Raw genomic sequence first — 12,529 nt, 5'->3', positions numbered from 1 at the left:
ACCCTTCAGAGCAAAAACCTCTGCACTGGAATGCCAAGAATCTGTATTTTTTTTTAAAAGTTCCTTAGCCACCAGATTGGGTTACACTGCTCAAGCTCAGGGTTCCTAAACCTGGGCTCTATTGACATTGGGGCTGGATAGTTTTTTTGTTGTGGGGGGCTGCCCTACACATTCTAGGGTGCTTAATGGCATCCCTAACCTCTACCCACTAGATACCAATAGCATGCCACCACCTCCAAGTTGTGATAACTAAGAATATCTCCACACATGGTCAAATATCCCCTAGGGGGCAAAAGGGTGTTGGTTGAGAATGACTGATGTAGATGACTTTAAAGTGACTAACCATTCAGAGAGATGTACAATTATTTGCTGGTGTGTGTGTGTATTTCTGCTCAGTGTGAGTTGCAGAGGACATTTCTGCATAAATACAGAGACTGAGAAGTTAGGCAGGCAGAGATAATACCATGTGTTCTGTATTTTTGTACCTCCACCTCAAATAATATTCCTTACATTTTTCTACTTCATGGGCATGTGGGTTGGTTATTGTTCCCCATTCTTCACTCCTTTCATGTTATAGAACTACACTTCCCTATCCTTCCCCTGGCTTCATGGCTATCGGGTGAATGTCCCTATCTTGACTTTGACCATGTGACTTGCTTTGACTAACAGGATGCTAGAGGCTGTGGGCAGAGCAAAGGTTTCTGATGGGCCTGCTTGGTTGGGCTTGTTTTCTTTGGCTTCACTGTAAGAAGTCATGTGCACCCCAAGTCACTGCTGCTCCTGAAGCTTGCACCCCTAGAATGCACTTATGTAGAACAGAAAGGCCTGAGCCCAACAAGAAGCCTGGAGCCAAGCCCAGCCTACGTCAGCCAAACCCCAGCCAAACCGCAAACCTCTGGAGCATCAAAATAAATGTTTATTGTATGCTTCTGGGATTTTGAGGCTGTTTGTTACAAACAGAAAAACGTTTTTTAAAACCATTAAAAAATATGTGTAGGTACCTCACTGTTTACATCAGAAGACAGTTTGGCACAGCAGCTAAGAGTTCAAGATCAGAAGCCAAAAAGATAAAGTCTTCGTCCGACTTCCAGCCCTGCCGCTTCCTAGTGAGTAACTTAATTTCTCTGAGCTCTATTTCCTCATCCATTAAAAGGGCATACGAAATAATACGTGAGTCTCAGTTTCCTAGTCTGTTGAATAGCTTTGTATGATACTGTGTACCTCATAGATTTGAAGGTTAGATGAGATGATACATGTAAATTGTTTGGTGTCAGTGCCTGACTCATGGTAAACACATGATAAATGCTAGTTAATTTTATTATGCTGAAGGGTCAAGGGCATGAAATATACGTTTATCTCTTTCTTCCTTCCCTCTCCTCCTTTCTCCCTTCCTTCCTTCTTTTCTGTTCTCCTTTTCTCCCTTGCTTCCTTCTTCCCCTCTTAACTATCACAAATATCTATTAAATTCCCACCATACTCCCCTAAACTTTGTGTTTGGATGAATAGAATCCAAAACCCACTGTGCATGAAAACTGGACACCTCAGAGCCAGTAGCTCAAGAGTCCACAAAGAGTTAATCCCGTGGTGAACCAGGAGCCAAATAAATTCTGCCCCACCAAACACACCCCAATCATCATTAGTCACGGCTTGTTGGACGGGAGGCTCCTCCCTGGCCCTTATCTCCCTGGCTTCTGTCCACGACCAGGTGGCCATATTTCACCTTCTGAAAACAGATGACCCCAGGGTCAGCGAAATGAAAGCCCCATTCAACAGGTCTGCCAGGGAATCAGCCAGCAAGGAGGGAGAGGGTCAGTCTCGCAGCTCTGTCCCTGCCAGGGCATCCCCCAAGCACATGTGCCAGGGATCCTTGCTCTCCATCCCCCAGGTCAGGGCTGAGGGACAGGATCAAGGTAACAATTACTGCAGAGCTTTGTCCTCCATAAAGCATCAGGTGGGGGCGTGGCCTTGAGGCATATTTGCATAGTGCGCCTACCATGATGCTTTGCAGCAGTCCTGTCCAGCTGGGATCTCAGGATGGGATTCCAAGGAAAGAGAGTAGGAAGATGGAATTCCAAGAAGAGAGAGTAGGCAGACAGAATTCCAAGGAGAGAGTAGGGAGATGGAATTCCAACAAGAGGGAGCAGGAAGATGGGATTTCAAGGAGAAAAAGTAGGAAGGGATTCCAAGGAGAGAGAGTAGGCAGATGGGATTCCTGCCCTCATGGGGCTTACCTTCCATGGAGAGTGGGGCCAACTTACCCACTACTTTTAGGGGCTCACCATAGTGTTTTAAATTTTTTACAATCAGAAAGAAAAAATAAAATCTTAGGGTTATTGGAATGTTTTATTTTTTCTCATATCAGAAAAACAAAACTTCAGTGAAAAAAATCAATGAAAACTGATTACATTTTGCCTAAATAGAAAAAAATAAAATGTTTAAATATTTAAAGTTTTATCAAAAATAATTTTTAATGTTGCTATAGTTATGGTGGAAGGAGCCCCATGAAGGCAAAAGCGCACAGGGTCCAGGAAAATCTAATGTGTTCCTGAGCCAGGGAGAGAAGCCATGAATATGCCAACAAATCAATGGATGTGATGCACTCAGATCCATTCATGCTATGAAGGGAATGAAGAAGGGTGGCTCTAAAATATAACAGAGGGCAGAAAAATGACTTGAGGGAAAAATTACTTTTTTTGCTACATCTATGAGAAGTAGTAAGGATGATGAGGATAATGATAAAACAATAGCAGCTACATTTATTGGATGCATATTAAATAAGCAATGTATGTAAAGGGCCTGGCATTTAAGAAGAGCTGCTACTATTCTTTTCTTTTCTTTCTTTCTTTCTTTTTTTTTTTTTTTTTTTTTGAGACAGGGTCTTACTGTGTCATCCAGGCTGGAGAGTCTTGACCTCCCGGGCTCAAGAGGTCCTCCCACCTCAGACTCCCAAATAGCTGGGACTACAGGCATGTGCCACCATGCCCGGCTAATTTTTGTATTTTGGGCTATGTTGCTCAGCTGGTCTTGAACTCCTGAGCTCAAGTGATCCTCCCACCTCGGCCTCCCAAAGTGCTGGGATTACAGGTGTGAGCCACTGCACTGAGCCTGCTGCTAGTGTTCTTATTTTTCTTCTTCTTATACAGCCTGCCAGGCAGTGGGCTAAATAGTTTATATATGTCATTTTCTTGATGTGGGTTTTCCAAAACAAAGCTTCAAAGCAAAGCTTGAAACAGGGACATAGATGTAAGTGGTTTATTTGGGAATTGATCATGATCCTCAGAAGCAGAAGTATGGAGAGGGAGAGAGGGACCAGAGTAAGGGAGGAAAACAGCAAGCACTCAACCCCCCAGCTCAGTCCCCTTGGATTTCCACTGGGGAGCTGCATAGAATGCACCCTTGAACCATCCCAAAGAGAGACAGGAAGGCAGTGCAGGCTGCCATGAGGTGGGGCAGAGCCCTTAGGCAGAGAAGAGGAGAGACTCTGCCAGCAAGCCCAGGAACTGTCCCCTGTTCAGGTAATCTGCCTCTGCTTCATTCGCTCATGAAGTCACTGTGACAACACTATGAGGTGGTGGCTGTTAGGATCCCCCTTCTGCAGATGAGGAAATCGAGGCACAGAGAAGCCAAGCGACTTTCCCAGGATCCCACAGCTGAAAGCAAAGCTGGAACCCAAGTGTCTCCATCTCCTACAGCCTGGACCTTTGGGACACGATGTAGCATGCATCCCATGTGGGAAGTACAGGCTCTGGAGCCAGCACTCCGGACTCCAATCCTGATTCCACCAGGTACGAGGGGCATGACTTGAAGATGCTTTTTAGCCTCTTGGTTCCTCCAGGGTCCTCATTTAGTTGTTGTGGGGTCCATCATTTAGTAGTTAAATGATGTCATATTTGAAAAGAGTTGAAGACAGATCTTGGTGTAGAATAAGTTCTCAGTAACTACGTATGATTCTTTTAACCCAGTGGTTCTCAAAGTGTGAGCCCCAGACCAGTAGCATCAGATCATCAATACTAGTCAGCACTGCCTGAGCATGTATTAGAGATTCACATGCCCAGGCCTCTCCTTGGACCTACTGAGTCAGAAAATCTGAGGGTAGAGCCCAGCAATCTGTGAGTCAACCATCTATTGCCCAGGCGATTCTGTCACATGCTCAAGTTTTTGAGCCACTGTTTTCACCACTCTGCCAGCTCTTACTCTCCCCAGAATGCAGTCTGACACCATTGTGCAAGTGGCTGCAGTAACTTCTGCCCTTGAAGCATGATTGCAAGGTACCTGAAAAACTTCTACTTATAGTATTCTGTCCTGTTGACATGAGAGCTTGATGTCTGTGGATTACAGTTGGATTTTGGTTCAAACACAAAGACTCCTAGAAGGGGAAAAGAAGAAAACCATTTGTGGCTTACACCTTGGTTAGAATCCGCATGCCTGTGGTCCCAGATACTTAGGAGGCTGAGGCGAGAGAACCTCTTGAGCCCAGGAGGTTGAGGCTGCAGTGAGCTATGATCACACCACTGCACTCCACTGTAGGTGACCTATCTGTAAGAAAAAAAAAAAAGAAAAAGAGAAAAGAAAACAGAGCAAGATAATATAGTATGTAATGTAGATAAGATCTGTTTTTATGTTTCTAGCATTATCCTACCTTCTTTTTACCATCATCTCCCACTTCTCCCACTTTTCAAGACCCTCATTTTATCCCCACAGTGCCTAAATTCTGAACTTCTTCCATATTTTCCTCAAATATAACTTGTTCTCAACTAAGCTTCACCCCATTAATTAATTCTTTTTACACATGGGGTCTTGCTATGTCACTCAGCCTAGAGCACAGTGGCCTGAACAAAGCTCACTGCAGCCTCAAACTCCTGGGTCACCACATCCAGCTTTTCTTTTTTTTTCTTTGTAGAAATGGGGTTTAGCTATGTTGGCGAGGCTGGTCTTGAACTCATGGTCTCGAGTGATTCTCTCACCTCAGACTCCCAAAGTTCTGGCATTACAAGTGCGAACCACCACACCTGGCCCATAATTTTAAAAACTGATTTAGTGAGACCATAAATACCAGTCAGAATCTAGTCAAGAAAACAAAATAAAACAAAACAAAGCAGTCCACGATTTTCAAGCAGAGGGTATTTAATACAGGGAATTGGTTACACAGTTGATAGAGGAGCTGAGAAGCCAAACAAGAAATGATGATGCTACCCAGAGATGAGCAGCATCTAGCAGCTGCTTCTGCCCCTAGGACTGGAAAAACAGGAGGAGGAGGTGGTAGCACTGGAACTCAGAACCATCCAGAAGGAACTAGAACCATAGTGATGGCTACTTGGTAGGAGCTGCAACCATGGAGGGGGACTTCTCTGGTAGGAGCTGGAGCCACAGAGGAGACCCAGTCACTGCTGGAGATGCCATAGGAAGGAGAGAGAAAGCTGGGAGGGAGATAGGAGGGGGAGTGTAGGGAAAGACAGAGAGAGAGAGAGAGAGAGAGAGAGAGAGAGAGAGAGAGAGAGAGAGAGAGACTGACTCTGGATTTGCCTCTTCTTCCACCCTCCAGTTTCCTACAAAGCCCTCCCAGTGTCCAAACCTACCCAGAGGGCAAAGGAGCCTAGGAAATGTAATTCTCTGAGATACAGGCCAGAATACAGAGAAGGCAGGAATATATCTGAGATCCTTCCTTCCTCCCTCCTTTCCATTCCTCATCCGGTTCCTTTCTTCCTTCTTTTTTTCTACATCCCCGTCTTTCTTTTCTCCCTTTATTTTTGCCCACCCGCCCTTCCTCCCTTTCATTCCTCCCTCCTTTTTTTTCCTTTCCTTCCTTCCCCCATTTTCCTCCCTCCTACTCTCCCTCTTTCCCCTTTCCTTTCCTCTCTCCATTTTCTTTCCTTCCCTTGGTGCCATCTACAATGGTAAATAAAAGAATGTGTATAAACAGAATGGTAAGCCAGAAGGTTCATGGGGGTTATAGCCTACATCTGTGGGGGATGTTCTCTTTGAGCCAACTGAGAAAGTGGATGGTGGAAAGGATGTCAACTGTCTGCACTTCGGGCACCAAAGGTGAAGGGCTGGTTAAAAGGCCAGCCCAACTCTCTTGGGATGGGGCTTCAGGTTGAGGTCCTGCAGAGCCCCTCTCTTTCAGCCCAGCCTGGCTTTTCTCAAATGACGAGTTTCTCTGATCTCTAAAGACAGATGAAGCCAACTGGGCTTTGGCACGATTGTCCTGCTTCAGGCTGACCATTCCACGTGGGAAAAAGAGGTGGTTCAGCGCTCACTGTTAACCATTTTCTCTAAAAACATCTTTTCTAGTCTGCATGTTTATAACATAAATCAATCAATTCATTCCTAGAGATCAATAGAAAACACAATTTCTGTTATTACTATAATAATGTAGGCATAATAATTAGCACCATAGATAAGAAAAAGCCTATCGTGTATAAAGCCTAGCAACACAGCTCTGCGTGTGTGTGTTGAGAGAGCCTGACCTTTTTTTGTTCACAACCAGCAGTTGCGAACAGCTGCTATAAATTATTTTGATTGTCCAGCAACTTGCTGATTTGAGTCTGGCTTCCATGCTCAACAGCGCTTCTCTGTGATGTTTAGCTCGGGTCTTGTCAATTTGGATCAACCACTTATTCATTTCCTCAAACAAATATTTATTGAGCACCTACTATGCACCAGGAACCATTCTAAGCACTGGGGATGCAGCTGCAAACCAGCGAGCCCAGGATTGCCTGTCTTCATGCATCTGAAAGTTGAGTGTTATGTTTTATTTTTGGTTTACCATGCCAAGACACACTTAGAGCTGTGGGAAAGATCTTTATTATAGAGAGTCCAGCAGAAAGAAGCATTATATAACTGCGAGTCTGCAATTATTTTTCATAATACTATGTACGAAAATACAGGTGACTTGAAAACACAAATAGCTAACTGCAGCATCATGTACTGAATTCAGTCAACCCTTACATAGTCGAGCCTTAAATTATGGCAAGGGAATTCAATCCCTGGTGCTGCAATTAGCTATTCAGTCCGCTCTCGCCCTCCACCTTCCTTCCATCTGAAAGGACCTGGACCTTTCGTGATGTTTTTTCTCCATCCATTCTCCCCAGATCTCTGTATCACTGCCATATATACTCTACCCCCTGCTTTGTGCTTTTCCTTTCATAGCAACCCCTGGGTCTCTTTGTAAGCAGGCTGCCCTCATCTGCCAGAATCCACTTTTCCTGAATCTCCAGAAAGCAGAAATGCCTGGAAACTTCCATTCCCCAAGGAAGTATAAGAGATAGGTCTGGAGTGGTGCCTGAGATTCTGCATTTCTAAGCAGCTCTCAGGGGATGCGGATGCTGCTCATCTGGGGACCATATTTCGCGTAGCACGAGTTTAAGCAAACGCCGGGTGCAGTGGCTCACACCTGTAATCCAAACACTTTGGGAGGCCAAGGTGGGTGGATCACCTGAGGTCAGTAGTTCAAGACCAGCCTGGCCAACATGGTGAAACCCTGTCTCTACTGAAAATACAAAAATTAGCCAGGCATGGTGGCGCACACCGGTAATCCCAGCTACTCAGGAGGCTGAGGCAGAGAATCGCTTGAACCCAGGAGGCAGAGGTTGTAGTGAGCCAAGATCATGCTACTGTACTCCAGCCTGGGAGAAAGAGTGAGACACCATCTCAAGAAAAAAAAAAATATGCTAAGCAAAGCATAGCATGGAGCATGATATTTAGCAGACGCTCAATAATTAGAGTTGCTATGATTGCTGTTGTTATTGCTATTGTTTTTGTAATATATCTCTCAGCCTCACTGCCCTTAGGTGATAGTAATGAGGTCTATCCCTTGCAGGATGTGGGAAATGAGAACTATAGGGTGAAAATCAGGAAGCCAAGAATGGGCAACACCCACCCTCACCCTCCCTTTCCCAGCTGATGATAACAATAACTAATATTTATTGAACAAAATTCATGCCAGGCCCTGAGCTTTGTTTTATCTCTGTGAATCCTAATGGTAACTCTAGGAGGTAGGCAGTATCATTAATCTCATTTTATATATGAGGAAGCTGGGGCCAAGAGAGGTGAAGTGATTTGGCTGTGGTTCCCCAACTAGAAATGAGCGGGCTGGGGGGTTTGAACTCAGCTGTTTTGATGGCAAAGACCAGACATAGAACCATTTCTCCACGCTGCCAGAAAAAAGATGTGACAAAGAGCAGCCACTTAAAAGCCCTGGATCAGGAGCACCGTAAAGGCACAGCCAGTGCACTTCCTGCATCGCTGCTGAGCCTGACACATGGCAGAGGCTCTGTAAGTATTTGAGGAATCAATGAATTGGCTAGATAGAGACATACACTAAATCTGCCCCCAGGAATTCCTGGCCATGCACTGGGGTGAGCCCTTTTCCGATAGACCTTCCTGGGTTCCCCTGCTCATAACTTGGGTTGCAGGAGAAGAAATTCTGTTTGTCCATCATGTTGTCCTTGGTGAGCCATGTCTGCTATCATTAAGCCTGGACTTTATCCTCCCTATAGCCAAGAGGAACGCTGACTTCAGGAGAGAACTTCAGCTTAGGGAGGAGAATGTCACCCATGGAAGGGATGAACAAAGCCACTTCTTAGTATTCCCAGCATCCAATTCATTTCTGAACTTCATTTCATTTACCCATGCATAGAATGGATGCATCACTTTTTTTTTTTTTTGGCTGCTCAGACTCTGAATATTCTTCCTGTTTGAGGAGTTCTGCACTTTATAACTCTTGGAGAAGGCAGAGACCACCTTGCTCTACAGAAACTGAATGGCAGGTTCTTGTGTTCCAAGCATCTCTTGCAAGCAGGGTGCTGACAGGTGACCAGGGCACTCCCTATGCACCCAAGCTAAACTTCAAATGGGAATAGAAGACATAAGAAGTTAAAGCGGCCATGGTGTTCTCCTCCCCATTTCCTCTCTTTCTCTTCCCTGCAGCAGTTGGTGTGGGATGGAGTGCCAAATTCAAAAATAGCAGTTGCATAACTAACTAAATGCTGCATGATGTGGCAGCACTGTCCTCAGCAGGCAAGTTCTGTGGCTTGAGTTTGGGCTTCCCTCTGGCTTGCTTATACATCCACCTGACACTCTGGCCTTGCCAACAATTCTAGCACTCAATGGGTAAACCCCTGTTCTGCTTTAATCATCTGAGATTGACTTTGGGGCTAGTGACCAAAAGCTCTGCTTGATAGAGTTAGGATTCTGGTTCATACAGATAAGGGTTGCATGTAACAAAAACTTCAGAAAAAAATTCCTTGTGTAGTAGATAAGAGATGCTGCTCACTTCCCCCTTAAGGGAGGATATTCTGCCTAGCCATGCAGAGTGTGGTCAGCAGGTGGCCACCGTCTGCCACCTCGATAAGGGCCTGCCTTAACTGTGAACAGCTGCTCTACCCAAGGTTATGCCATCCTGTATGCAGTGACTGAGCAAGGAAGAAGCATAAAGGTCCAATCATTTTGCTCCAGCATAAGGCACTGTCATAGACAATACTCAATCTAGAGATTTCTCTGAGTTGGCCAAAGCTTTGTTTGGCCAGGAACATAGTTCAATTCCTTCCTCTCTCCAATTCTGCTTCCTCTCTCTTTCATGAGTGGCTGTTACCTAATAAATGTCTTGAACTCTAAATTCTGTCTCAGCATCCTATTCCAGAGAACCTAATCTATAATACCTTGCAATCTTGGGACAATCTCTAATCAATCAGGGTAGGCTAAGCTTTGCTGCAGTAATGAACAACCCCAAATCTCAGTGGCTTAGTATTACAACAGCTTATTTCTCATTCACAACACAAGTGTAAGGCAGGTCAACAGGGGACTCTTTTCTCCATGGTCCTTAGTCCTGGACCTAGGAGAACAGAGGAACCACTATCGGGAACATTGCCTCAGAAGAAGAGCCAGCAGAGAGCGTTGGATGGATCTCATTAGCAATAAAATGCTCTGGCCTGGAAATCATAACTCATTGGCCAGAACTAGTCACAGGGCCCTACTCACCCAGAAGGGGATCAAGTGTAATCCTACCATCCCTGGAAGATGGAATGTGGAAATATTTCACAGATGATGCAAATGACTATCACTCTCTTCATTTAGACAATCATGGCAGGAGATGTTTTATGCCCAGATCCAAAGAAAATGAGGCAACCTGACATAATTGGGATGTCTCTTATTTGTTAAAACCTGACATATACCTCTTTAAAGTGAATTTTTTAAACTTATAGTTTTTGAAACAGGAAAAGTTATTTAAAAATGAAATCCAAAGCAATATCTATATGACCCCTGAAGACCCTCCTTTGATGTCCTAGGTTCTGACAAACACAACATTGAAAGCACACATTGTAAAAGCCATCCATTCCTGGGTCCAAATCTTGGTTCTACCACCAATTAGGTGAGTGGCTTTGGGCAATTATTTTGTTCCTCTAAACCTGAGTTATCTTATCAGTTAAGTACATAATAATATCTGCTTTCCAGGATACTTTTGAAGATTAAATTATATAATGTATTTGGAGTGCTAGGTATCAGGTAGTTTAACAGATGTTGGCTGATTCCACTGAGAATTTGGGAGTGTTCATTACTTCAGCAAAACCAAGCCTGTCCTGACTAATGCAAAGATGACAAGATACTTATTGGGCATGGACTCATGTCCTCCTGACCCCATCTGTAACTCTCATGGCTACCGCAAACCTCAAGTCTGTGTTCTGTGTTGCTCATTTCCTACCCTGGGTTGGTCAAACGCATGGCATTGGATTGCTAAAGAAACTGTATGTCACGCACACATGCAACACTCTGGAAGTGTGTGAAAGGTTAAGCCCCATGGGGCAGCCCTTAACCAATGGATGATAGAAACTGATGGTTACATGCTTCTCCCTTTTATCTCTTGAAGGGACAATTCCAACAAGCATCCCATATGGTTCTTGGAAAGTCCCTATCAGTTGAACATCAGTCAGCCATAACAGGGCCACCTCCATAATCCATCCTTATATCAGCTCTCCCTCTCCCCCAGTCCACTCTCCATGATCCCTCACTCCTGCTTTCAGGGATCACCTCCTAAATAAACTATCTGTCCAGAAGCCCTTGTCTCAGGATCTGATTTGGTGGGGAATCCCAGCAAAGACACCTGTTAAGCCTCTTCTCTACCCCAATGATTGCACTATTTCCGGATTAGTATTGTTACAATGCTTCTGGAGACCAGCTCTGAGTTTCCATCCTTTCTGTGAGCAAAAGTTGTGAAAATTCATGCTCCACAAGGCAAGAGATCTTGTCCATTGTGTTTGTTGGCATAGCCACGGGTTCAGAACAGGGCTTGACACATAGGAGGCACTCAGTGACTGTGAAAGCAATGAACTCATCAATAGCTCTTCACTTCTGTTTATTTGCCAAAAATGGAGATTATGATATTGACCTACCAGGGTTGGCATGAAAATGAAATCAAAGTCATGAGAAGGGGGCAAATGAGTTAAATTTTCAGTTGTTATTCTATCTGTAATAAGAAGTGATAACAGGGTCTGGCTCGTAGGGTTGTTATGAGAATCAAATAATGCAAGGCACGTGAAGAGCATGTAGTAAATGTTCAGTAAGTGCTGGCTCTTCCTTCTTTCCTTCTTCTATCATCACCACCATCACCACCGTTATGAGAGCCCAGGGAAATTCTTGGATATTCAGCAGACCCAGGATAAACTGCCAGTTGACTCTGAATCTTATCAACAAAGAAATGGCCCCTTCCATCTTTCCCTCGAGAAAAACTGGGACTAATTGTCCAGGTGTATCCTGCACAGTTTTCCATATGAACTGTCAACATGTGCCCCAGTGACCCCAATATCTGGCCAGGTTCCTCACAGCCAGGACTGAGGATTAGGCTGTCGGTCCTCACCAGTCCTGACAGGTTGATTTTGGGATGTAGGTGGGCTAGATTGAATTCTGCGGGTAATGAAATTCCCCCTCTCCAACATCTCCATAAGCAGAGATGGGGCCAGAAGGGAGTTGGTCCTCCTGTGAGCAGTGAATCCTAAATGGTGCCCAGTGGAGAATATGATATAGCTGTGCTCAGCCCAGTAAATTCTAGGCTTTGGGAGCCAGACATTTACAACAAGATAATTTGAGAAGTGGGACATCACCAGGCAGGCTCCAAACCTTCCCTATGGGAGAGTTCAGCTAGCAAACTATCTTGCCCAGGGCTTGTCCAACAATCCCTTATTTATGGTAACATGCATTACAGGAAATTTTTATATAAGGCATTAAAGTGGAGGCAATTTAGGACATTTGATCATCTTACTTCTCCAACTTCCTAACCCCCCTCATGCATCCTCACTCCCATCATCCCCCTTCTTCAGTCTTTGAATTTCAGCTGAATGCGAAAGCTGATAATAGCTAAATTACATTGCAAACAGGTGCGGGCCTCTTCTGCCCTGGACAGCTGCCATGGTTATGTGATTCCTCAGCTGGGGGCATGTGGTTTGCCTGGCTTATGAGATTTGGGGTGGATGGTTGAGGGTACTTTTCTCCTCCACATCTCTCCACACCCAGCCCCCCTCTCCCAAGCCAAGCTGGG

Source organism: Homo sapiens, chromosome 12, assembly GCF_000001405.40.
Source record: "Homo sapiens chromosome 12, GRCh38.p14 Primary Assembly".
Classification (NCBI taxonomy): domain Eukaryota; kingdom Metazoa; phylum Chordata; class Mammalia; order Primates; family Hominidae; genus Homo; species Homo sapiens.
This window is presented reverse-complemented; position numbering follows the sequence as displayed.